General features: G+C 42.4%; 1 long non-coding RNA gene across 1 annotated transcript in view; it reads left to right on the top strand.

Moving 5' to 3' along the window:
- The window catches only part of LINC01248 (long intergenic non-protein coding RNA 1248), a 56,978-nt gene that overhangs the window by 3,926 nt on the left and 25,170 nt on the right, over positions 1-27,882 (top strand). Inside the window, exon 2 of the long non-coding RNA NR_110580.1 lies at positions 2,654-2,767. This is a non-coding gene — a long non-coding RNA (long intergenic non-protein coding RNA 1248). The remainder of the gene's footprint in view (positions 1-2,653; positions 2,768-27,882) is intronic.

Raw genomic sequence — 27,882 nt, 5'->3', positions numbered from 1 at the left:
GGTAACAGTCTTTTATCAGACATGTCTTTTGCAAATAACTTCCCCTAGTCTGTGGCTTGTTTTCTCATTTTCTTGATAGTGTCTTTTACACAAGTTATTTAACTTATCCTGTGCCTTCGTTTTCCAGTCTATAAAATAGGATACCAGTAACCATTCCATCATGTGCGTGCACGCGCACACACACACACACACTCATGTGTGCAGAGACACAGTCCAGGTCCTGCTTGATTTGTTAGAATTGCTATAATGATTAAATACATATGAAGTGCTTAGAACAGTGCTGCGCACAGTAGAACGTTTACAAATGTAGTCTTTATTATTTTAATATTTCTTCTTCTGTGCCTGAAAGGGTTCCTGGCATACCGTAACTATTGTGTAAGTTATGAAGGGATTTTCATATTTGCTCACATACCCCAGTAAGCTCAGTCAATTCTCCTACCCGAGTCACTCCTGAGTTCACTTCCTCCTGCATGTTTTGACCATCAGTGTGTATGTTTCAGTTTTCCTCTGGGCTTTACACATTTTTTAGTAATGGACACCAAACTGATGTCCCTGTTTCCACTCTGCAGACAGACTATTCATTCCAACATGCAACAGGGACCATGGGACTTGCCAGCGTCATGCTCAGGATGCCCTTCACCATTAGGACAAAATCCACGTCCCTTTGCAATGCAAGCAAGGCATGACTCTTCTCGTTTTGCCTCTGTAGTTTCATCTTTGTCACAATTAAGGAAAACACAGAGTATCAGCAGGGCAGGATAGCACAGGGCAGGGGCTTCAAACTTATTTTGACTATGATCTGACATATGAAATGGATTTTTACATCATGACCCAGCACACAAATGAACACACACACACACACACAGATGTACACACACAGAATATACACATGCAACATTGGAGCTAACACCAAGAGGGATGTCTGTGGTTTCAGATCACACTGTTTCACGTGTTCACACTGTTCCTGTTAACCAGGCATTGGCTAGAACTTCCTATCTTTTACAGTTTAAACAAACCTTATTTTTATTAAAAATATATTTATTCAACCATTTTTTAGTGGGAGGAATATGCTCTAAAAAAGACATTTAACTAGAAAACTCAGGGAATTTTTAAATGAAGTTAAATAATTTCCCCCAAAACAGTTATTTTTTTTGTTGAGCAAGCAGCACTATCGTCCAGTGTGGCCTGCTCTCTTAGCTCCAAAAAAGAGAGTGGGGGGCTTTAGGGGCTGGGGTGGGGAGATGGCTCCTGCCCTCTCCCATCTAAATCAAAGACAGAGGCGGAGCCTGCACCAGTGCTGGAGAGCAAGTCCTAGAGTTGCAGTCTACACATGAAGGGAGAGGGGCCAGTGTCTCCTGGAGACATTGCTCCCTTTCTATCAGTATCTTTGTCTTATACACCCAAGAAGACATGTATGGTTCCAAATGTGTGATTGTTAAGTGTGTATGTGTGTGTTTGGAAGTGTAATATAAAAAGAAATGAATAGTCAATTTTGAAAGCACAATTTTAAAATTTGCCAAATCTGGTTTCTTCAAAACATGGCTATTATCCTGATTTGTTTGTCTTAATCACTTCTTAGCTAGAGAAAACATCCATGTGAATAGCTATGAATGTGTCATTGTTTTCGATGATACAGACAAGAGGGGATGGGGAGAGCTGGTAACTCAGGCAAACACGTGTCCGGTAGATTTCTGGGATTTGATAAGCACAAGTGCAGGAGGAGGGTGTCTGTGGATAGTCCTCACCGGGAACAGGGAATCATCGGCTTTGGCAGGTGCAGCGTCTCCCCTCCACCTTGATAGGCTGAGGGAAAGCCCTAGCCAGGACTCTTTCTAAATCACCAAGCTGTGTGGCCAGGTTGCTTTACCCACTCCCCGCGACCCATGAGCCCTGTAATCAACTACATTTTGCTGTAATTGACTCTTGAACTTAGGTGTCTGCTGTTGTTTTTCTTTCTGGCCCTCGATGCATCAATAGCTCTTTCTGTACTCTGTCTCTGTCTGTCAGCTTTGAAAACACTTACATTACTTTTGTTATTCCAAATAAAGTAAGGTATAGGCAGAGATGTGTGAAGCACAGGTAACCATTAAATTCTAAGTAATCATAACATGAACAAGAAATACAGTGACCTTTCCTTGGAGAGGGCATTCACTAAAAATTCTACCAATTTGTGGTCATCATTAGGGTAGCTTTTAGCTGCTGTGCAAAATCGAAGGGCGTTTGCAGACAAGGGGGAGGAGGGGAGGATGGGTGGCAAGAGGACCCAGGCTTCTACTAAGAGGTGAGTAGTGCCTTAGAGAGACACACCTGTGAGGGAAGAGGGGTCTGAGCCAGGGAGACTGTCTCCTGCCCCCATCCTAACATAAATCAGCCACGTGATCTTAGGAACAGGGGTTGATCACCTTGGCCCTTAAAATCCTCACCTCTAGCACGAACATTTTGGACTAGGTGACTTCCAAGGTCACTTCTGCGCTGGACCTTACGTAGCTTTTCCAGGACGAAAAATGTCACTGCTACAGAATCGTAAACTAGGGAAAATTATTTTGGTTTCATTCTCTTAAGTCTGTGGGTTTATTATATGTTAAAGTATAGTTATTTAGTTGTGACTTTGGTACTTTGTGGTATTTATTGTTTTCTCTTCCTCCATTTGAAGGCAGCACATATTTCCCATAGAAATGTGGAATGTAAGAAAGGCACATAAAGCAATCCAAGTTGCCTGCAGATATCCACAGCCTACTTCAGTCTCAGTAATGCTCTTTTAACCTGGGTGAGTATCAGATTCCTCATTATTTTTTTCTCCCACAGCAGCGGAGAGTCCATGTTACAATAAAAATTAACATGATTTTCCTTTGGTCCCGAGTACCATTTGGATCTGTGCTTGGGTGTGTAAATGGTGCACTTGACAGGCTGGATGAAGTGCAGTGTGATCAGGACACAGCTCTGTGATTCTCTTCCCACCAGCCTAGAGATCCCCCCTCAGGTCTAGCTTGGGCTGACTGTGAATTAGAGACAAGGTGGCAGTTCTGGTGTTTTACACTCCTGCCTCCCCGTCCTGCCTTCTGGCTGCTGGGGAACCAGGAGATGGGAAGGGCTCAGAAGAGAAAGGGGCAAAGTCTATCTTCATGTAGCCGATGCTGTGTGCTTCTCACTTGGCTGCTGAATGCCCGTTGACATGCCAGGATTCCAGCTGCTGGGCCTCCTTGATGGGTTATTATAAGAATGAACCCATCGCAGCAGGGCCACCTTCTCTGTTGTGGGGAATTGCGTCTCCAGATGATCCTTGAGGTTCCATTTTGGGTGCCCTTCCTAGGTGTGAACACCCTTGCTTGACGCCCTTGATATAGTCACTTACAACAAGGCCTGCTCTGACAAGGTCATTCCAGGGTGGCTCTGTTCCACTTCCTTCCATCACATGCCTCTGCTTCAGGGACATATCCGGAGTGTTTGCACCACCCGACTGTGGGAGAGGCCACTGCTCGCTCTCCTTCCAGGGCAGCTCTGGCCAGGGCCCAGCCTCCGTGTGTTCAGGCTAGAGTTTTGCTCCAGTCTCTGTGTGTCCCAATCTCCTCTGCACTCCCCACCAAATTGAAAGCCCACAGCTTGGCGCTGATGAGTCTTGACTCCCACACCAAGTCCCCAAGAGTTGGTGAGGGGACAATGAAAGGGTTGGAGGACCAGAGGGCAGAGAATCTAGCCAGAGAAGATTCTTCTGAGGTCTGGAATTGAAGGGAATTTTCCCTGATAGGTTTGGGACTTGTTTGGGATTAGTAATCCTTTTTTTTTTCTCTTCTGATCTCCCCCTTATGGAATGGAAATGTCTATTCGATGCCTGTTCCATCATTGTATTTTAAAAGTAGATATGCAGTCTAGTCTCATAGATCCACAGCTGAAAGGGAATTTTGCTGAAGGATGAATCAAAGCCTGAGTTGCACTCATATTTGATGAGATATTTAGATGAGGTTTTGGACTTAGGCTTCACGCTGGACTGCATTCAGGCTTTTGGAGATGTTGGGATGTGGTAAATATATTTTTCATATAAGAAGGACATGAATCTTTAAGGGTCAGATAATGGGCTATTATGAGTTGAATTATGTTTCTCAAAATAAATACTTTGAGGTGTAATTCCTGAATACCTCAGAGTGGGAGCTTATTTGGAGAGAGGTCCTTTGCAGATGATCAATTTAAAACCAGGCCAGTGGGGTGGGTCCAAACACAATATAAAAATGGGAAATGGGCCTGGTGCAGTGGTGCACACCTGTAATCCCAGCACTTTGGGAGGCTGAGGTGGGAGGATCACTTGAGCTCAGGAGTTAGAGACCAGCCTGGGCAGCATTGTGAAAACCCATTTCTACTAAAAATACACACACACACACACACACACACACACACACACAAATTAGTCAAGCATGGTGACGTGAGCTTGTCATCTCAGCTATTCCGGAGGCTGAAATGGGAGGATTGCTGGAGCCCGGGAGGTAGGGGTTGCAGTTAGCTGAGAACACACCACTGCCCTCCAACCTGGGCAACAGAGCAAGACACTGTTGCAATTAAAAAAAAGAAGTGGAAATGTAGACACAGAGAACCATGCGTGGAAGGAGGATAAAGTAAAGAGATAGAAGACGGCCATTAATAAGCCCAGGAGAGAGGCCTGGTGGGGATCCTCCCTCACAGCCCCAGGAAAACTCACCCCGACAACACTGCGATCTCATGCTCCAGAACTGGGAAAGAATACATTTATTTTGCTTAAACCAGCCAGTGTGTGTTAATTTATTACTGCAGCCCTAGCAAACTAATACAGAAAAGAAGTCCCCAAACCATAGACCCCTCTTTTTTTACATACTTTTTAATGTTTTTTGATTTTTTAATTTTGGTGGGTACATAGTAGGTGTATAATTTATGAGGTACATAAGATGTTTTGATACAGGCATACAATGCATAACAATCACATCAGGGTAAATAGAGTGTCCATCGCCTCAAGCTCAGATCATTTCTTTTGGTTAAGAATATACCAGTGCCACTCTTTTAGTTATTTTAAAATGTACAATAAGTTATTGTTGGCTGTAGTCACCCTGTTGTGCTATCAAACACTGGATCTTATTAGTTCTATCTAACTATATTTTTGTGCTCATTAACCATCTTCACTCTCCCCTAGCCCTGCTACACTTCCCAGACTCTGGTAACCTTCTATTCTCTATCTCCATGAGTTCAATTGTTTTAATTTTTAGCTCCCACAAATGAGTGAGAACATGTGAAATTTGTCTTTTTGTGCTGGGCTTATTTCACTTAACATAATGTTCTCCGGTTCCATCCATGTTGCTGCAAAGGACATGATTCCATTTTTTTTATGGCTGCATAGTATTCCATGGTGTATATGTACCACATTTTCTTTACCCATTTATCGGTTGATGAACACTTAGGTTGTTTCCAAATATAGGCTCTTAGGAATAGTCCCTCTTTTATAGGCAATAAGTCAATGATATATGTGGATGAGGGAAAGTCCAGTGACCACATACATAGAAGGATTTTATTGCTGTGCATAGTGGTCACAGCTTCAAAATGCCTAGGCACTGCATTACCCCTTTTGGCTTTGGGTCTCAGGCAACATTCTGTGAGAAATTGAAGAGTACAGTTTAACATCTTATTCAGTTCAAAGGCGATAACTTCATTAACTTAAGTAAGGCGGGGCTGTAAAGTGTGTGTAGAAGGAATAATGTCTCACTCCCTTGTCTTTGTGCTGCAGTAAGGGAAAGATCATTGAGGTACGGTGCTCTGAGAGTGTACGCACACAACATTCTTAAAGTTACATTTTCTGACCAAGCCTCCTATTTTAGGCAGAATTGTTGCTTCATCACTTCAACCCCTGTAGCACTGCATGCATGCCTTTATTATAGCATTTATCACATTTATACCCCATGTTCCCAGGGACCAAATCTATTCACTTTGACATGTGTAAACCTCATGGAAGATCCTACAGAGGCATTAGGGGGACTGAAGAATGTCATAAAGCGCATTCCCAACCAGTGCAAGTGATTCCTCCAGGTAATTTACAAAGACTTGCTATAAAAAGAACAAAACCAAAGGCATCATGCCACCTGACTTCAAACTACACTACAGGGCTATAATAACTAAAACAGCATGGGGCCTGTACAAAAACAGACACATAGACCAATGGAACAGAATAGAGAACCCACAAATAAGGCTGCAAACCTATAATCATCTGATTTTCAACAAACCTGACAAAAACAAGCAACAGGGAAAGGGTTCCCTATTCAAATAATGGTGTTGGCATAACTGGCTAGCTATATGCAGAAGATTGAAGCTGGACCACTTCCTTACACCATATACAAAAATTAACTCAAGATGGATTAAAGACTTAAATGAAAAACCCAAAACTATAAAAACCCGGAGGACAACCTAAGCAATGCCAACTTGAATATAGGGACAGGCAAAGATTACATGACAAAGATGACAAAAGCAATTGCAACAAAAGAAAAAATAGACAAATAGGATCTAATTAAATGAAAGAGCTTTACACAGCAAAAGAATCTATCAACAGAGTAAACAGACAACCTACAGAATGGGAGAAAAGTTTTGCAAACTATGCATCCAACAAAGGTCTAGTATCCAGCATCTATAAGAAACTTAAACAAATTTACAAGAAAAAAAAAAAACCAAGCCCTATTAAAAAGTGGGCAAAGAACATGAACAGACTTGATTCAAAAGAAGACATACATGCAGCCAACAATCATGAAAAAAACTCAACATCACTGATCGTCAGAGAAACGCAAATCAAAACCACAATGAAATACTATCTCACACCAATCTGAATGGCATTATTAAAGAGTCAAAACAAAAAAAATTGCATATGCTGACAAGGTTGCAGAGAAAAATTAGTACTAATAAATTGTTGGTGGGAGTGTAAATTAGTTCAGCCATTGTGGAAGACAGTGTGGCGATTCCTGAAAGACCTAAAGACAGAAAGACTGCTCGACCCAGCAATCCCATTACTGCATATATACCCAAAGGAATATGAATCATTCTATTATAAAGATACATGAACGTGTATATTCACTGCAGCACTATTCTCAATAGCAAAGACCTCAGTGATAGACTGGATAAAGATAATGTGGTACATACACACCACAGAACACTATGCAGCCATCAAAAAGTGAGGGACATGGTTGGAGCTGGAGGCCATCATCCTTAGCAAACAAATGCAGGAATAAAAAACCAAATACCACATGCTCTCACTTATAAGTGGGAGCTAAATGAGGAGAACACATGAACTCATATAGGGGAACAGCACACACTGGGGCCTATTGGAGGATGGGGGATGCGAGGAGGAGGGAGAGAATCAGGAAAAATAACTAATGAGTAGTAGGTTTAATACTTGGGTGATAAAATAATCTGTACAACAACCCGCATGACACAAGAGTTTACCTACGTAACACACCTGCACATGCAGTCCTGAACTTAAAATAAAAGTTTCAAAAACAAGACTTGCTTTAGTGCTAAGATGCTGTGACACAGTGAAGTTCCTCTAGCCCATTCCCTGGTGTATTTTGCAGGCAGGAAGCGCTGACAAACACAAGACAATGCGTATTTTAGTTCACCAACATTGTTGTCACCATTACTGCGGGTGTTACATATAGAGTTATAAAATGATATTAGGGCTGAAAGGAAGCCTTTGCTATTGACTGTGAGTTTTCCTAAAGGTAGAGGCATGTTTTGTTGGTCTGCGTCTATCCTGAGGTTAGCTAAGTGCTGGGTACTGTGCGGCATTCACTAGTGCTTGGCTAAATGAACAGATGGAGTCATGAAGACATGAAGAAGGAAACCCAAGGTTAAAGTCACTTTGAGGGAATGGGAAGAAAAGGAAAAAAAAGAAGAGTTAAGAAAAAGAAAGGAACACAGGCTCTCCCCCTTCTCTGTCTCACAATTCCGTTCCTGCCCTATATGGTGACCGCACCCACTGCCCATTCACTGTGCTGGGTATCTCAATACCACTCTTCCCCTGGAATTTAGTTGTTATTTTCCCATGTAACGCAGTGTGATGCTTTCAATGTCTTATCAACATTTTAGTGAATGAACATTCACTCTTTCAGGCTTTTTTTCCCTCTTGCATGGGTCTGTAGGGGTTGGTCCAGAAGAAAATCTAGTGTAACACAAAATGTATTGTACTTACATGCATTAGTTTACCCCAGTCCTAGTATATTTTCCAACAACAGAGCTTCAGCACCTTGAATCTCTTTCCCTTAGAATGGGTTTTCCAAGGAGTTTTCTCCATCTCTTAGGAAACAAGATTCCTGGGAGCCCCTAAAACCATAAAGATATATACAAATATATGTGTTGAAACATGTAATTACAGAATTCGAAAGAATTTCTGGGACCCTGATAGTGGGCAATTTGAGGACATCTCACAGCAAGTAGGACTCTGTGTGATGGGCAGATGCATCCCAGATGAGTTTGTGTATAGGCTCGAGAGGGAGGTAGGGCAGGCTCACATCCTCCACCCTCCAACTCAATATGCTCCCCAGAGCCAGGGAATGAATAGACATCTTATCTACTGCAGGGTGGAATTCCTTACCTCAGAGAGGCAATAGTTCCAATTTCTTCTCAGTTTTTAAGTATCTTTTAGGATTCTCCAAAGCTAGGTACATGTTTTTCCTTCATTTCTCTCATTCCAGCTCTTGGAGGAGTTGTATGATTTGTTCATGCATATTTGATATTCTTCCCAGGGTTTATCTCTGCCTGTCCTAATACCATGTAGCATGCCTCTATTTCACCTCTTGTAACCAGAGGGCAAGGGGATAGCTAATGCTAGCCTGGGTAAATAAATGAGAACAGGATTGGAATATTAGTATGTCTATTTCTGGTTCTAACTGTGAAGAATAGGATCTGAAGTATAAAAGGAAAGATATTTATAGTATTTCCTGGTCATACATTTATTGCACAACTACCTCAGCTGAAGCTTGTTGACTATGTTAATGCTGATTGCAACAACTCTGTAGAATAATATTATGCCCCACACAAAAATGGTTAGGGAGATGTTCTCTACTACATATTGAAGACCAAGCTTATGATAGGTAGAAACACTCCTACTCCACTGACATAAGTCTACACTTGATCATATTTTCCCGAAACGCAAATATGAGAACGATGCAAACTGCCCTCACACAAAGAACTGAGCTGCCTTAAATCCAAAGACAATGTATGGTAACTAGGTTGCTTATTTAAAAAAGAAGCAGACCACATAATCTTTTTATGGTATTCTTTATTAACCAGTAGGACACAGTTAGAGAACATAAGCACTGTTTTGGGGGGTTTGATATTGACCAAATTATAGGCACATTTTCATGCACCCTGCACTCTGAAACATATGGGTACACTACAGAGTATTTAGTACACTGCATTTTCCATCAGGAGTTTATGGCTCAGAACCTTCATTTATCATTGAGAAAATGGCTCCATATCTCCTACTTACATCTAAGGAGACTGTGAGGTTGAAAATAGGATACAAAAATATTTTATGAAGCTTCTGTGTGATTATAAACCATGTTTACAAAAATAGACCGAGACACTTTGCTAACTGTGGTAGAACCCAGGAAAGAAAACATTTTAGCCATTTCTTCTACAGACATGAGTATTTTGTTTTTATTATGTAGAGATCTTTGAATATTTCTGGAAACTAGAGGTGAAAGGGAAGGAGAAAAAAATTAACTGCTAGTGTCACTTTGGAAATGTTTTCTGGATAGGCTAGGGGCCTAATTGAAAATAAGACATGGAATTCCAACAGCATGGAATTCCAGTAGCAGTAATTGCAAAGTGTGGGGCCCCTCGCTATGCAGGGAGTGGCAGGGGTTGAGGCAAGGCCAGCAGGGAACAGTCTTGGCATGACTAACTATGCTGGACTGCCATGCTACGCATGATGCCTAAGCCATGCCCATTTTACTCTCTGTCCTGTTTATGTTATTTGTAAAGTTTTCAATTTCAGCTATATGGAGAGTTGACAGAAAATACAGGATCATCAATCAATGATACAGTAAATACAGAATTCCTCACAGATGATGAATGTTGTCCTTCAGCGTCTGTGGTCACTTCCACCTTTAACTAAAGTTGGAGTTGGAAGAAAGGCAATGTGACTCCAAACTTCACAGTACCTCCATCTTAGACAAACACGACTCTCTCCTTCACCTGCGTGCCAGCTGAGGGAGTTCTGTTCCATTGCTGTCTCCGGGGACTCTGTCAGTATATTTGATGTAATACTTGTTTCTGTCCATAAAACATGTGATGATGAGAAGATCGCAGTGCAGATCCAAAATCATATGCTCACTGCAGGCTTGGACTCCCTGCTGGATGTTGTGTACGTGGAGGGCTCCTGCTTATGCCACTAGGACAAAATGACCGCTTTTGCTTAAGAGATATAGTTCCTACTGATTTTTATAATTCCATTAAGAGTCAATCTTGTTTGGAATGGGTTCAATCCTTGCTACTGTCATTCCAATAGGATTTGTTCAAGAATCTAGGATATTTTGATTATTTACAGCATATTCCACATTAAACCAGAAAAGAGAACCATTTATCTGTATATTATTTCAGATCACTATGTGTCTTAGTATTTTCTGATAGGGAGTATCAATATCCTTTAATCATTCATTCACTTATTTATTTGTTAAATAAATGCTTATTAAATGTGTGTTCTGTCCCAGCCACCATGTTCAGAAAATTAATGAAAAAACATGGTTTCTACTTCAGTTCAACCCACATGTAGAGTCATGTATTATGTGACAGACATTGGTTTCAGTGTTGAGGACATAGAGGGGAAAACTCAGAATTCATGCCTCACAGAACTCATAATTCTGTTGGGTGAAACACATACACACATAGAACATGTTAAACATGAATATAGCAATTAAAAAGAAACACTATAGGATATTTTAGAGAATAACTTCATTTAAGAATTACTTTCCAGTATTTTCCACAAAGCAGATATGCTCATTTTGAAAGGAAACGTACTTGATATTTTTTACTTTCCCACTTTTTTGTTTTCTTTAAAAAAATTGTTTCTCTAGAGATGGGGTCTTACTATGTTGCCCAGGCTGACCTCAAACTCCTGAGCTTAAGCTCCAGCCTCAGCCTCTGGAGTAGCTGGGCTACGGGCATGCTCCACTGCACCTACACAGCTCCCTTTTCTTCCTCAAAGAAAAAAAAAAAACCTCAGCTCGACTCCAGGCACTATTTGTCCTTAATGTTTTTTTCTGACAGCCTGTGTCCAAGAATCATGAAGTGACAAAAGTGCACCCGAAACAAAGTAGCATTCCAATCATGTCATTATTTTTTATGGCAGTTCACCTTGTGAAGGTGATATAATTGCTTTGAGACTCTTTATCTATAAAACTGGAGTGATAAAATCTTCATTGTCTTTCTCTAGATTTGCATAAAGGCCTAGGTGAAAACTGCTTGTAAGAGTGTTGTAAAGTACAGCATAATCTAGAAAATGCAAGGAAGTACTATTTGTTCCTTAATTTTCAAAAGACCCTCATTTATGCTTAAGTACATGCATGTGTCTGCGTGTTTTTAAATGGGCAACAAGAGGGTTTAAGATCCAGATTGGGAAATGTTTGTGTACAAATTCCATACCTATACATATGCTTTTAAAAAGTAGGATGAATTTCTCAGTGCATGTTAATGAATTTGAGTCTATCAGTGCTGCCCCACACTCCCCCAGGCTCCTTTTTTGAGAGAGAGTGTCACTCTGTCACTTAGGCTGGAGTGTGGTGGCACGGACACACCCCACTTGCAGCTTTGACCTCCTGGACTCAAGCAATCCTACTGCCTCAGCCTCCTATGTAGTTGGGACCACAGGTGTATGGCACCACGCCAAGCTCATATATATATATATATTTGTAGAGATAGGCTCTTGCCATTTTATGCAGGCTGGTCTTGAACTCCTGGGCTCAAGAGATCCTCCCCAGGCCAGCTTTTGCATAAGTAAGTCAATTAGTTTGTTTCCTTTTGATACAGTGGCAAGCATCATGGGGAGATTTTTTGCTCTTTCTTGATGTTTTTAACAGTAATGTCTATGTAGGATTCAGTAGAGTTATCCCAAATTAAAGATTTCCTGAGGTAGGATAGATTGGAGTAGGATTAGGTGGGGGTGAGGCCTGGGAAAGTGAGTACCATTTTGCAGATCATTTAAACTACCAGATAGACGCTGTGTCCAGGACTGTTACACTTATTTTCCCACGTTTGGTGTATCCACATTCCAATTCCAAGTTTGGCAGACATTTGCTTTTTTGCAGTGTCATTAATCTGTCCTAGTCCCACAGCCATATACTACATGCATGTCCAGAGGAATCTCAATGTTTTCACCAGCTCTCCAATCCAAATCAATACAACTAAACCTTTTCTGGCATTTGAGTAATGTTTTCTTTAAATAGAAACGTTAAAGAATTAATACTTACCAATGTGTTGGTGTTCATGTAACAGTAAATCCCAGGGAATTATTTCCTAGGAATGAGACTCATGCAGTCCTTCAACTAGGGTTGCATGACCCAACAGCTCATGGAAAATGAGAGTAGCTGTTGAGGTTAAATCTCAAGGGAGATCTCCATGGGATACATAACTGGCATTTAATGTTTGGACAATAGTTGAGAAAGAAAGAAGGGAAGAAAAAAAGGAAGAAAGGAAGGAAGAAAGAAAGAAGAGAAAGAAAGAATAGAGATTTGAATTTCACTGTCTTAGCTAGTTGCCTCTATGCCTTTCACACAAGAAAGAAAGAAAAAGACAGAGAAGCAGAAAAGGAATGGAAAGAACATTAGTAACAAATTTTTGAAAGAAAGAAAGGCAAACAAAGAAAGAAAGGGAGAGAAAGGAAGAAAGAAAGGGAAAAAAAGAAAGAAAGAAAAAAGAAAAAAGAGAAAGAAAGAGAAAGAAGGAAGGAAGGGAAGGAAGGAAGGAAAGAAAGGATCTACTACTGTAAGTTACTACTCAAGTATAGATCTTTATGCTAAGTATTCCACATGTCATTCAGGATGACTCATTTTGGAAGGAATGGGCTTTAAAAATCACAGGGATTTCAGCGGCTGAATTGAATACACGCACAAACAATCCAAGGGGGAACTCTCACTGAAATGAGAAGAACTTAGCTTTTTAACAGCTCTTTCAAAAAACACACACACTACCGTCATTTTATCTCCTGTACAGAAAACCCGACTCTGTTTCAGCGCAACTGTGAAGTGTGTGTGTGTAGCGCAGGCCAGCGTGCGCTCTCCCAAGACGCAAGGCCAGGAGTCCCTGCGGGCCCCCTTCGTCTCCGCCTCGGGCTGCCGGTCCTGCGCAGGACGCAGCTCTGTCCAGGCAGTGATGACCCCTCTGTCCCCCACCCCCGGCCCCTCTGTTTTTGGCTCAGCTGCTCTTTGAGACAGCAGCGCTCCCCCTTCTCTGAAAGGGCTCACCGGGCTCCCAGCCACCTGCCTGGACCACAGTTCTCTGGAGACCCCCCTTATTAAGCTGCTGCCGCCGCCGTCTGGCTTTCCTTCTGCCAGCTGCCTCCTCCCCCAGACCTCCTCGGAAGCCCAGTGCAGCAGCCTCGCCACCTGCAGTGCCATCCTCCGCCCGCGCGGCCGTGGAGGGGCAGGTGTCCCGGGCGGGCGCTGTGGCTGCGGGTGCAGCGGAGCCAGGTGGGGCGGGGCGTGGGCGCTGGGGACGCAGGAGGAGCCCCCGGGAGCGGCCGCGCCTGGCGGAGGTGGCTCCTGGCCAGGGCTCCCGCGGCCCTGACCCAGCCGAGGGCTCCTTCCAGGGCAGCGGAGGGCGGGGATGCCCCACCCGGTTACAGGGGCGGCTGATCAAGCTGTGACTGCCCCGTGTCCTGAAGCCGCTTCTGTCCAATCTGTTTGCCGCTAGTCTCTTCCTCACTCAGGCTGCGCCCTTGCTATTCAGATAGGATTCGGCCCCCTGCAGCGTTGACACCATCTGGCAGCTTCCCAGAAATGCAGAGGCCCTGGCCTCGCTCTCACCCGCTCAATCAGGAGGTGCGTCCCACCGCTCTCCGGGGCCTCCTGTGCGTGTTCACTACTGAGGAGCACCCCAAGCCACCCTTCCTGAAACCAAAGATCTCCCGGGAGTCATTGCCCTGCTCCAACACGTTTCCTAGATTCCCACCGTCCCCACAACTGAGGACACAATCCAACCCAGGCCCCAGAAGAACTGGGCCTTCCTTTCCAGGACGCTTCCAGAGCTGCCCTCCCAGCTGAGCCCCGAGCCTGCCGGCGGGCGCTCCACCTAAACACTGGTGGCTAAAGGAAAAGATACGTTTCCGTATCATCAAAGTGGAATTAATAATAGATGAAAATTAAAAAGCGAGAAATTCTGGACAAAGAAAAAATAAGGTTAGAAGAAGACCATATAACAATCGTTAAGTGTGGTCCCTAAAACGTGTTCTCTGAGTCCCCGGATTAGCAGGAGGCCAAACCTGTGGCTCAGCATTAGCCAGAAGCCAGAGCAGAAAAGGGGGGGCACTACCTTCTCCTCGATGCCCGGCAACCAGAACATCAAATAAACCGGTGCTCCTGCAGAAGAGTGATTCTTGCTACTGACATGGGAGAATTGTTTTCCCTGGGAAATCTGTTAATGAGAAAACACTTTTGCTAAGAGCAGCTGCCATGCTAGTTCGAAAAAGTAAATCCAAGGTCAAGTGCCTCTGTTTCTCCTAATATTTCAGTGTGAGTGAGTCCATGGCATAATTATCTTGCACAACAGTGAAACGGAAATCCAAGAGGTCAACGCAGTGGCATGTAGGGTGCTGCTCCCCCGTGGTCTGGTTTGAACCATGTCTGAGGAACGAAAGTTATAGGGACTCCTTGGTGGAGGGTGTACCTCGCACTATTTTTACATAAGCAGAGCGTTTAGGTTGAATTCTCTAGAAAGGAACAGAAATGCAGAGTTATTATATTGGTGATTCTGGGTAAATCTGCTGGGTCAGTGGAGAGCAGAGAAAGCCTCACAACTCAGTGTGAACAGAAATCACCTTTCAAACCTCACTTGCCCATCCAGTCTTCCCTTTTTGTTACAATCAGGACTATTTAGATGTTTGTTTTAGACCACTGTGCCTCTACTGTGAAGTCCAATATTCTTGAGATAGGCTGCGCCTGTCTCTATATTTTGTCATAGGTGAGAATCGTAGAGGCCATGGAAGAAGAGTGATTCCTTAAAACTGGCCGAGAAATTTCTTTTATGGTAATGTAAACTCTTTTCAACTTCCCTGACTTTATATAAAAGAAAAACTTCCATTAACAAACAAACAAACAAACAAAAACAGTCCAGGTGCAGTGGCTCACACCTATAATCTTAGCACTTTGAGAAACTGAGGTGAGCATATTGCTTGAGCCCAGAAGTCTGAGATTGACCTGGGTAACATAGCGAAACCCTGTTTCTACCAAAAAAAAAAAAAAAAAGAAAGAAAGAAATTATCCCTGTGTGGTGGTGTGGATGCTTGTAGTCGCAGCTACTCAGGAGGCTGAGGTGGAAAGATTGCTTGAACTCACGAGATTGAGGCTGCAGTCAGCTGGGATTGTGATTACACCACTGCACTCTAGCCTGGGGAAGAGAGTGAGACCCTGTCAAAGAAAGGAAGGAAGGAAGGAAGGAAGGAAGGAAGGAAGGAAGGAAGGGAGGGAGGGAGGGAGGGAAAGAGAAAGAAAGAGAGAAAGAGACTGCAATTCCTTCAGAAGATGAACCTGTTGATTTCTTTATGGTAGCAGGTGTCAATGGACATGGAGATCTTCCTAAACTGTACCACCTTGAGACAAAAGTAAAGAGAAAGGAAAAGGAAGAAGTTCTTAAGCCTAATACATATGAGGTTTTTTTCATTTACCTCCCTTAGTCCTCGTGGTAACCTAATAGAGTCAGGATTAGAAATTCTACTTTAATGATAAGGAAACTAAGACTCAGAGGAGTTGAGTCACTTTACTAATGTCACACAGCTAACATGTGGTAAAGCCTGACTCAATTTCAAATTTTCCTGGCTCCAGAGCCCATATGAAAACTCATTTTAACAAAAGTTTATTGAATATCTACCAAATTCAGGATGCTGTCTAGTAGATGAAGGAAGAGCAGCATTTTCAAAAAGTTTGGTTCTCATCTGCAAGGATTTCACAATCTAGGAGAGTCGGGATGCAGATGGCTAAGTGTATCTGTCCTATGGTGGGAGTGTTTGCATAGGAAGGTTCGTAACAACCTGCTGGGGAAGACAAGGAAGGCAGTGATTCGTGCTGACTAGGAGGCCAAGAAAAGCTTCAAAAAGCAAATGATATTTGATCTTGGCTTTGAATGATGAGTAGGATTTCAACAGATGGGGAAGGTGGAAAGAGTATTATTTTCAATTTAAGGAGGCCCCTGGGTGCTCTTTATTCAGTACTAGGTAAGAATCATCTGCACTTAATATTTTACAAAATCAAAGGAGTCATGTTGTCAAATATCAGTAAATATTTAAATTTGTCTCCTGGTCTAAAGTAAATTCATGGACAGTAATGACTGTGCCCTGGTTTTCCTGCATCAGTTCCTGGTGCAATTACCCTCTCACCCCTTGATCATTTCACATTTATGGAATATGGTTTTGTGACTGCCACAATGAATGAAATATAAATGTTAATAAAACTAAAAATTAGCAGGACCTGAACAATCCTCTTATTACATACATTTTAGGTATTACCTATTTAGTGTATTTTGCTGATAATTATAGCACAGTGAATGTAAGTACACATTTTTCTGTTCTTAATGATTGAGTGCATTTTAATATCCTAAGGGTATGGAATTTTGACCATCAATCACACTGTCGACTATTTTAGGGTGAATGCAGTCGTTAGTACTGAGAACCTTGGTGGTTTTCTTGCCTTAGATCGGTTTGCTGTTTTTTTTTCTTACCACGTCCTAGCATGCACTTGCTTATTTATAGCCCTTCTGTTCTATTGCAATTCAAGTGCAGCCATTTCTCCCCCTGGTAAATTGAAGGTCTTACTAACAAGGATCTTCATTAACTGAGATTATGAGATAGCAAATGGATAATTGTAACATGTTATGAGATTCTGTGAGATTCTGATGTGTGGTCTTCTTCCATACTCTCGGCTGTAAGTGTGTATGGTCAGCATTATGCTAAACTAAAATCACAGCATCCTGTGGGCAGGGAGCTCATGGCCCACCATCATGCCAGAGATTTGTGTTGGACTTAAAACCAAGGCCTCTGTTCCCATAGAAACATACGCATAGATCGCCAGTGAGGCTGGGATGCTGAAATACACACAGGACTCCTAGGGGAGCTGAATATTGAATGAAGATAAACACAAATGGGATATTTACAACACATTTTCCACTCGTTGGATACTTTGATGGCATCTCGAAGTATTACCATAAGATGAAATCAAGGCTGGGTGCAGTGGCTCATGCCTGTAATCCCAGCACTTTGGGAGGCCGAGGTGGGTGGATCACGAGGTCAGGAGATCGAGACCATCCTGGCTAACACGGTGAAACCCTGTTTCTACTAAAAACACAAAAAAATTATCTGGGCGTGGTGGCGGGCACCTGTAGTCCCAACTACTCGGGAGGCTGAGGAAGGAGAATGGTGTGAACCCAGGAGGTGGAGGTTGCAGTGAGCCGAGATCATGCCACTGCACTCCAGCCTGGGCTACAAAGTGACACTCCGTCTCAAAAAAAAAAAAAAAAAAAAAAAGATGAAATCAGGTATATTCACATATAAATAGGGACTACCACTTCATGTGACCTTCAGAGCAAGAGAAGAATGGGTCGATTTCTCATCCTTCCCTCCGTCCCTCCCTTCCTCCCTTTTCCCCGCCCTTTTCCCTCCTTTCCTTCTTCCTTTCTTCCTTCTCTCACCTCTCTCTCTTCTTTCCTCCCTCTTTCTCTCCCTCCCTCTCTCTTTCTTTCCTTTCAAAGTCATCCTCATGGCAGGTTTTTCACTGGATTCCTCACTGGCTTTTCTACCAAACCACTGGGGGTGTTTGTGTCGGCCCAGAAAGTGGCTGTTATGCCTTTGCCGTTTCCCCACAACCCAGAGTAGCCCTGTGGCAAGCCACAATTTCCAACAGCATGTCAGGAGTCTGATGCCATTTAGTGATATTCAGGCCATGTAGAAAAGAGCAGCTGCCCTGCAGGTGGTATTCCAGAAACGCTCCCCGGCACCCAGCAGGAAGCTGGATAAGTTTAATTCGGTGAAGCAAATTTAATCATTTGCCTCTTTGTAAATGGGGACACAGGAAGAAAAAAAAAGATTTTCTTGGTGGTGTTCTAACAAAACGGCTGCTCCTAATAGCACACGTGTTTAAATTCCTCTTTCATGGGATTTGCAGGACTGTATGATTTTCCAGTAGCTGTCAAGGACACAAACAGGTATAATCCCGGGGAGGTGCAGAACCTCCAATCCACAGCTCTGATATCAACCCTTGCAAAGAGCTCTGAAAGCATGGCACATGCATATTAAAGGAAGTAAAATGGATTCAGATGCTTTTGTCCAAGGCCAAAGAAATCCTTCCGCCTTCTGCGTTTTTCTTCCTTTACTAATTAGGAGCAGCTTCAATTCATTACATACAAATGCATTTATAGATTTTCAATGTATGTCTGCTTTTCGTTTTAGCAAACCATCTGTAAATTAAATCTACCACAGAAAAAACCTACCAACCTAGGAAACCCTTTAATACTAATTACTACGTAAGGGTAGAAGATTTGGAATAATCTTTTATCATTGCTATCAAAATTTACCACGGGTTTTATGACAACATCATTGCGTAGCTTATGTTGACTGTTGTCAGCTCTTGAGGGTTCTGTGGGCTCCCCAGATAGCTCCAGGTCTGTGTCAAGGCTCTCTTCATAAAGAAACATTTAGGTTTAAAGAATATCAAAGTTGTTGGATAAAATTGTCTACACGTTAACATGTGATCTTCCAGAAAGAGGTCACAGTCATTTTATATTGTTCCTATTGCATTTACTTGACGTCTCTTTTTTGGTGAGTAAACTGGAGTTAAATTTCACATACCTGAGGTTATCTGACAAACTGGCTTTAATGAAAATAACGTACTTTCCTTCAAAGTGGAAAGTAAGGCCTGTGTATGGCCTTACATCTGTGTCAGGCCTCAGTATGCTTATTCTAGTTAATTCTTGAATTTTGGAAGCAAACAAATATACCTGAATGGGAACTAACTTTCTTTCTTTTCTTTTCTTTTCTTTTCTTTTCTTTTCTTTTCTTTTCCTTTCTTTCTTTCCTTTCTTTCTTTCTTTCTCTCTTTCTTTTCCTTCCTTCCTTCTTTCCCTCCCTCCTTCTCTCCCTCCTTTCTTTCTCTTTCTTTCCTTCCTTCTTTCTTTCTTTCTTTCTTTCTTTCTTTCTTTCCTTCCTTCCTTCCTTCCTTCCTTCTTTCTTTCTTCCTTTCTTTCTTCCTTTTCTTTCTCTTTCTCTCTTTCTTTCTTTCTTTCCTTCTTTCTCTTCAAATGGACTCTTACTCTGCCACCCAAGCTGGAGTGCCACGGTATAATCTCAGCTCACTGCAACCTCCACTTCCCGGTTTTAAGTGATTCCCTTGCCTCAGCCTCCCAAGTAGCTAGGACTACAGGAACACACCACCACGCCCGGCTAATTTTTGTATTTTTAGTGGAGACAGGGTTTCACCATTTTGGCCAGGCTGGTCTCGAACTCCTGACCTCAAGTGATCTCCCTCCTTGGCTTCTCAAAGTGCTGGTATTACAGGCATGAGCCACCATGTCTCACCTGAATGGGAACTAATTTCTTTATTCTTCATCACCCCCATTATCATCATTATGACCACTACCACCATTACTGTCATTTAGAATTAATCTTTGGGAGCACGACACTGGACTGCATGGCAGGAAGGTTGTGCATCCTTCTGCTCCATGGGAAGGCCCAGGACCATCAGTTTCCAGGAGCGAGTGGCACTAGCATTGCTGCAAGTGTGGGGGGACTCTCTCCTCCGTAGGCCAGGGCTGTTGGTTGAAGGGTCTCTTGCAAATGTGGCTCACAGGGCTTTAGGGTGGGGACAGAAGGAGACCCTTGTACTCCTAGGGATCTACCTGGGCACCCCATGATGCTCCCTCGCTAAATGGGATCCTAACTGCGGACAGAGAGTAACCCTGGTCTGAGAAGGGGTGTGGCTGGAGGCTGATGAGGGTGTGAGGAGGGAGGTGAGTCACTGAGGCCAGCAGGCAGGGCTGAGCAGGGGGAGGAGGGTCTAGAGAGGAAGTAGAGCATGGGGATAGTGAGTGTTGCTGTGGCTGTGACAAAGAGCAGCAGCAGGGGCTCCAGCTCTGTCTCCACGCCACGGTGCCTCATTGCATGGCTTCAACTTGGCTAGGCCATGGTTTCTAGATGTTTGGTCAAACACCAGACTAAATGTGGCTGGGAAGGCATTTTTCAGATGTAATTAACATTTAAATCAGTGGACTCTGGGTAAAGCAGATGAGCCTCCCATCATTTGAAGGCATTGAAAGGAAAAGACTGAGGTCCCTGGAGAAGAGGGGACTCTGCCTTCAGGTGCCCTTGATGGTAACAGCTCTTCCCTGGGTCTCCAGCCTGCCCTGTACTTTTCAGACTGGCTGACCCCACAGTCATGTGAGCCAATTCCTTTAAAAATAAGTTCCCCCACCGTGTCTGTCTCTATTAGCCCGCTGGTTCTGTTTCTGTAATGTAAGAATCCTGAGTGATGCTGGAGTTCCTGTACAGAGAGAGGCCCCTGACTCCTGTGAGCCTCTGCCCACAGGTGTCCTCAGAGGAGTGGGTGGAGCACGTGGAGGGGGTCTGGGTCCACATAGGACCTTTTCAGGGCAAAGCTCACTGCCCAGCTGCATCACAGTGAGGACACAGCCACCTGCAGTGGGTTATGTGGGCAGCTGGTCAGGGAAAGGCCCGGGGCTGGTTCCATCGATAGGAGTCTGCAAAGCCAAGCACTTTTCAGGATGACATCCTCTTCCAAAACTCTGATTCTATCTGAAATTGTTTCCACTGCTGTTTTCCTTTTTTTGAGCTGTTTAAAGGGATAGGGAGGATACTTCTCAAAATTTTTTTACAGAAGGGATTTTTTTTTAACGATATCTTTTTTTTTCTTCAATTTTGGGATGGAAAAAAGACTTGAAACTTTAATTTTTTGGAGTTCCCTAAAACTTACCCGTCAGGTGTAATAGCTTTTTGTCTCACTCCATAACAGAGATGCTCCAAGAAATACAAATTTCTTCTTGCTTTTCCATAATTCAAGGTAATTTTTGTTTTGAGTTTTCCATTTAACTAAGCTGGCATAAATTTAATCTCAGATATTTAGGATCCTCTTTTTCCCTATGGCTGGGTCTATGGGCAAATGTTGTAAGACATTGGGGGAAGATGTATCCAGTCCTGAAGTCACTTAAGCTGACAAGTCATGTCCGCTGAGACCATCATGATTACACTCAGTCCTGCTGTCAGCCACCAGCGATTGCCTCTGTGTTTCCCCTTATGCCCCCAGGGATGGTCACTCTCTCCTATACCTGGTGCCACACAAGTGGGATCTTCCTGCCTCTCTGTGCAACACCAAAGCACGAACATCTTGTTAACGCTGTCCAAAGCCCCGTCTCCTGCGATCCAATTTCGAGTTAATCCCTGTCTTGGCTTTGGTGCATCTGCGGGGTTTCTGCTAGAAATCGAGGCACAGGATCTTCCACTGTCCATAACTCCACTCCCACCTTTTCTCTTCCCTTTCTAAACCTTAGAGAATCTTCCTAACAGTGGGCATGTAGCATGATCAGGAGAAAAGAGAAAGCCACTCTTGTCAAACCCCGTTTCCTGAAACATTTTGTCTCCTGTCTCCTATGTTTCTCTAGGGCATTAGGACCTCAGAACTCAAAGCCAGAAGGGGCCTGACAGGCTGTGTCCTTTTGTGGACCCTGATATATCTCTTCTAGGAGGCTGGGAGTGGGGCATTTCATCTACCAAATAGCATGAAAAGCAGGGTTGGGAGCAGTGAGTATAAAATACAGCAACCCTCATAGGTGCAGCAAACCACCATGGCACATGTATCCCTGTGTAACAAACCTGCACATTCTGCACATGTATCCCAGAGTTTAAAGTAAAATAAAATTAAAAAACAAAAAACACAGTGACCAGAGAAAAATAAATCTCCGTGAATATTTTGAATGCCTCCTACCACCACACAGATGTGAGAAACCCACATTCCAGTGGTGATCAGGGGTCCTAATGTTTTGAGGCTTCTCTTTTTTGGATTGTGTTCAACTGATTGATATGACCTGACACTTTTATTCTATGCTTGGAGGAGCCACTTCTTAACTCCCTCTCATTTTCTCTGCCTTCTGCCCTTACTTCTGTGGGCCTATCACAATGCTTGATCATAGAGTAAGTGCACAGAAATATTTGTTAAATAAGTGAATGAATGATTTTAGATTTATTTAAAACTCATAAAACACCACCACCAACAAAAATCCTGTCCCTCGAAGCAACTCCTTGTATGTCTCTTTGTTTGGGTTTACAGATATAAAGCATAGACTTCAATTGTTCTGACACATTACCACGGGCATCTGCCTTATAAAGAGGCAGGCGAACAGTTGCTAGTGAGCCTCCCACAAATGGTTGTCTGCAAGTAGTGTGTATAAATCAGGCTGCGCAGTCTGGAATCAGTTCAGTACATGCATAGTACACTATTGAAGATTTGCTGATTAAATCACCCAAGCCGAAAACAGTTACAGTAATTCCAGACTCCAGTTGGATTCCAATGTCAAGGCAAATCATTTGTGAGCACTGAGCTCATTTACACCTGGGAAGTAAACCTCACAGGAGAGCTGTTTGCTTTCCATACCACTTTATTGCTCAATCCTTGCATTCATCATTGTGTCTAGCAAATAGCACATCAAAATGCCATTAAATAATGTTGTTGAATAGGTTTTCTTCTTCTGCACAATTGACTATAATATGACCTAATAGATTGTGTTAATACTTCAGTGGAAATTTATGGTCTCTAAAGAATGGTCTGCAAATCCTTTCTCTTTTTCTGTTATTTCAGAAGAGGTGGTTGCTTTAGAGGGATGTAAAACATTATTTTTAAATGTGGAACCAAATGAAAGTTCAAGCCTGACTAGGTAGCTCACTGTAAACCTGAAAGATGATTGTGGTGATGGTGAGGTCTCTAGAGAGGCCAGTTACTTCATGGGAAAAACAACGGGTTTAGTATCAAGGAAATTGAGCTCCCATCTTGCTTGTCCTCCCGGGCACCTTCGGAGTGTTGGACAACCCACATAACTAATATTTCTGGGTTTTCCATAAGTATAACATGAGAAGTTTGCTCTCTAGTTTCTATGGCTTTATGAACAAGACATGCTAGCTTTGTGGTATTTTTCATATTTATATGCTCACTGGCTCCTAAATCAAATAATGCCATTTGAGATAAGGCTGAAAGGCATTGGGTCCTTAGGTTTTGTGGAGATATTAGGAAGGTTTCGTAATCAGAGTTGGGCTTACTTTCTTCAATTGTCCTCTGCTAGCAACATAACCCTGGGCACAGTCCTCAATTTCTTTGGTTCAGTTTCTCAACCTGTCAAGTGGTGGTAACGTCACTGAATTTGAAATGTTGTCATAAGAGTCAGAGATAACATACGTAAATCACCTAACAGTCTTTGGTACTTGGTAGGTTTTTTATAAATGTTGGAATATTTTATTTTTAGCAATTAAATCAATTGCAGTAAAAGAGAAAGGAGGGACATTATCAAAGTCACCAAAGTTTTTAGAACTAAGGGACTGTCAAAAGGAAGAGAGTATCTCAGCGAAGCTTTCTCATGGTTTTGCTTCAGCCTGATTCTTCTATCAGGTGTACATTTTGGGAATCATTAATGATGAGGATGGACAGAATCTATTATTGGCATCAGTTACAAGAAAAGTTCGCATATTTGAGTTTCTTGGACTAGCAACTTCACATACGAGTTTCTAAAATTAATAGACCCTATTTTTAGAGCAGCTTTAAGTTTATAGAACTTATAGAAAAATGGAATAGTAGCACAGAGAGTTCCCATATCCTTCTCAAGACATGGTTTCTCCTTGCGTTGCTGTGGCACATTTGTTGCAATTGATAAACCAATATCGTCACATTATTACGAATGTAACATAGTTTCTGATAGGATTCCCTCTGTGTTGTACAGTACATTCTGTGGGTTTTGACAAATGCAAAATGTCAGGTATGCACCATTACAATATGATACAATAGTTTCACTGTACTAAAAATCCCTTATGCTCTACCTTTCCATCACTCCTGTGTATTTACCCAAAGGAGCTGAATTATTTTGTTCATACAAAAACCTGTGCATGAATGTTTATAGCAGCTTTATTTATAATTGCCCCAAATTGAAAACAACCATGATGCCCTTCAATAGGTAAATGGATAGACAAACTGTGGCACATCCACACCATGGAATAGTATTCGGTGATAAAAATAAATGAACTAGCAAACCGCCAAAAGACATGGGGACTCTTAAATGCATTGTACGAAGTGAAAGAAACCAATCTGAAAAGGCTACCCACTGTATGATTCCAACTATAGGATGTTCTGGAAGAGGCTAGAGACACTAGAAAGATGTATGGTTACCAGGGAGTAGGGGAGAAGGAGGGAGGAAGAGATGGAGCACAGAAGGTTTGTGGGGCAGTAAGTTGTCTCGGTGGTACTATAATAATGGACATTACCTGTTTGTCAGAATCCATGGAATGTAATACAAAAAGAGTTAACCCTCATGTAAACTACAGATTTCAGTTCTTACAGGAATACCTTGTTCTAGTGTGCTTCACTTTATTGTGTATTGTAGATACTGCATTTTTTTTTTCTTTTTACAAATTGGAGGTTTGTGGCAACCCTGTTTCGAGCAAGTCTATTCTCACCAGTTTTCTAAAAGCATGGACTCACTTCTTGTCTCTGTGTCAAATTTTGGTAATTCTTGCAATATTTCCAGCTCTTTCATTATGATCGTGTCTGTCATAGCATATCTGTGATCAGTGATCTTTGATGTTATTATTGTTATTGTTTTGGGGCACAACAAACTATGCAGGTGACATTCAGCAAGTGTAATTGATAAATCTGTGCATTGTGACTGGTCCACTTACAGGCTGTTCCCCCATTTCCCTCCCTTCCCTTGGGCCTCCCTATTTGTTGAAACACAGCAATACTAAAATCAGTCCAATTGATATTCTATAGTTGCCTCTAAGTCTTCAAGTGAAAGGAAGAGTCGCATGTCTCTCACTTTAAATCAAAAGCTAGAAATGATGAGGTTAGTGAGGAAGCCATGTTGAAATCCGAGAGAGCAAAGGCTAGGCCTCTTGTGGCAAATAGCCAAGTTTTGAATAAAAAGAAAAAGTTACTTTTTTTTTTGTTTTTGAGATAGAGTCTTGCCATGTTGTCCAGGCCGGCCTAAAATTCCTGGGCTCAAGTGATCCTCCCTCCTCAGCCTCCCAAGTAGCCTGGACTACAGGCATGTGCTTCTGCACCTGGCTGCAAAGGAAAAAAATTCTTGGGGGAACTAAGAATGTTACTCCAGTGAACACAGGAACGATCAGAAAGTGAAACAGCCTCATTGCTGACATGAAGCAAGTTCTAGTGTCCTGGATGGAAGATCAAACAAGCCTCAGCCTTCCTGTTATAGTTTGGGTGTGTGTCCCTGCCCCAGCCTCATGTTGAAGATGCAGTCTCATGTTGAATATTGTAATCCCCAGTGTCGGAGGTGGGGCCTGGGAGGAGGTGACTGGATCATGGGAGCAGATTTCTCACGAATGGTTCAGCACCATCCCATTGGCGCTCTCCTTGGTGATAGTGACTTCTTATGAGATCTTGTTGTTTATATGACACCTCCCATGCCACTCTCTTGCTTCTGCTCTATGTGACCAGCCTAGTCCCCATTCAGCTTCTGCCATAAATATAAGCTTTCTGACACCTCCCTAGAAGCAGGTGCCAGTGTTATGCTTCCTGTACAGCCTGCAGAACCATGAGCCAATTAAATCTCTTTTCTTCATAAATTTCCTATCGTCAAGTATTTCTTTACAGCAATGGCCTAACACATGTCCCTTAAACCAAAGCCTAATCCAGAGCAAGGCCCTATCTTTCTTCAATTCTATGAAGGCTGAAAGAGGTGAGGAAGCCACAGAAGAAATGTTCGAAGCTAGCAGAGGTTGCTTCTTGAGGTTTAAGGAATGAATCTGTTCCCAGAACATAAAAGTGCAAGGTGAAATAGCAAGTGCTAATGCAGAAGCTGTGGCAAGTTATCCAGGAGATCTACATAAGATAATTGGTGAAGGTGGCTACATAAACAACAGATTTTCAGTGTCGATGAAACAGTCGACTTTTGGAAGAAGATAACATCTAAGTCTTTAGTAGCTAGAGAGGAGAAGTCAATACAAGGCTTCAAATCTTCAAAGGACAGGCTGACTCTTTTGTTAGGGGCTAATGCATCTGGTGACTGTAAGTTGAAACCGAGGCTCATTTAACATTCTGAAAACCCTAGGGTTCCTTAAGAATTATGCTAAATCAACTCTGCTTGTCCTCTGTAAATGGAACAAAAAGCCTATATGACAGCACATCTGTTTACAGCATAGTTTACTGAATATTATAAGCCCACTGTTGACACCTGCTGCTCTGAGAAATAGATTCCTTCCAAAACGTTACTGCTCATTGACAGTGCACCTGGTCTAAAACGTAGATGTGCAAGGGCGCTGATGTTGTTTTCCTGCCTACTAACACAACACTTACTCTGTAGCCCATGTAACAAGACATAATTTTATGTTGAATTAATTTACACTCCTACCAACAGTATATAAGCATTCCTTTTTCTCCACAGCCTTGCCAGCATCTGTTATTTTTTTGACTTTTTAGTAATAGCCATTCTGACTGGTGTGAGATGGTATATCTCACTGTGGTTTTGACCTGCTGTTCTCTAATGATCAGTGACGTTGCGCTTTTTGTCACCTGATTGTTGGCCACATGTATGTCTTTTTTTGAAAAGTGTCTTTTCATGTCCTTTGCTTGCATTTTAATGGGGTTGTTTGATTTCTTGTAAAATTGTTTAAGTTCTTTATAGATGCTGTATAATAGACTTTTGATGGATACACAGTGTATAAATATTTTCTCCCATTCTGTAAGTTGTCTGTTTACTCTGTTGATAGCTTCTTTTGCTGTGCAGAAGCTCTTTAGTTTAATTAGGTCTTATTTGTCAATTTTTTCTTTTGCTGCAATTGCTTTTGGTGTCTTCATCATGAAATCTTTGCTCATGCCTATGTCCTGAATGGTATTGCCTAGATTGTCTTCTAGGGTATTCATAGTTTTGGGTTTTACATTTAAGTCTCTAATTCAACTTGAATTAGTTTTTGTATATTGTGTAAGGAAGGGGTTCAGTTTTTTCTTTTTTTTTTGAGATGGAGTCTCACTGTGTCACCCAGGCTGGAGTGCAGTGGCGTTATCTCGGCTCACTGCAAGCTCTGCCTCCCGGGTTCATGCCATTCTCCTGCCTCAGCCTCCCAAGTAGCTGGGATTACAGGCACCCGCCACCATGCCTGGCTAATTTTTTGTATTTTTAGTAGAGACAGGGTTTCAACGTGTTAGCCAGGATGGTCTCCATCTCCTGACCTTGTGATCCATCCACCTTGGCCTCCCAAAGTGCTGGGATTACAGGTGTGAGCCACCACGTCCGGCCTGAAGGGGTTCAGTTTTAATCTGTATATGGGTAGCCAGTTATCTCAGCAACAAAAAATGATAATTTAAATATAAAGAAAAAATATAAATAGGAAAAATGCATTTATATATGCTATTAAATAAGAAATACTACCGGGAGTAATTTTTATATTTTTTATTTTATACA

Source organism: Homo sapiens, chromosome 2 (assembly GCF_000001405.40).
Source record: "Homo sapiens chromosome 2, GRCh38.p14 Primary Assembly".
Classification (NCBI taxonomy): Eukaryota; Metazoa; Chordata; class Mammalia; order Primates; family Hominidae; genus Homo; species Homo sapiens.
This window is presented reverse-complemented; position numbering and strand designations above follow the sequence as displayed.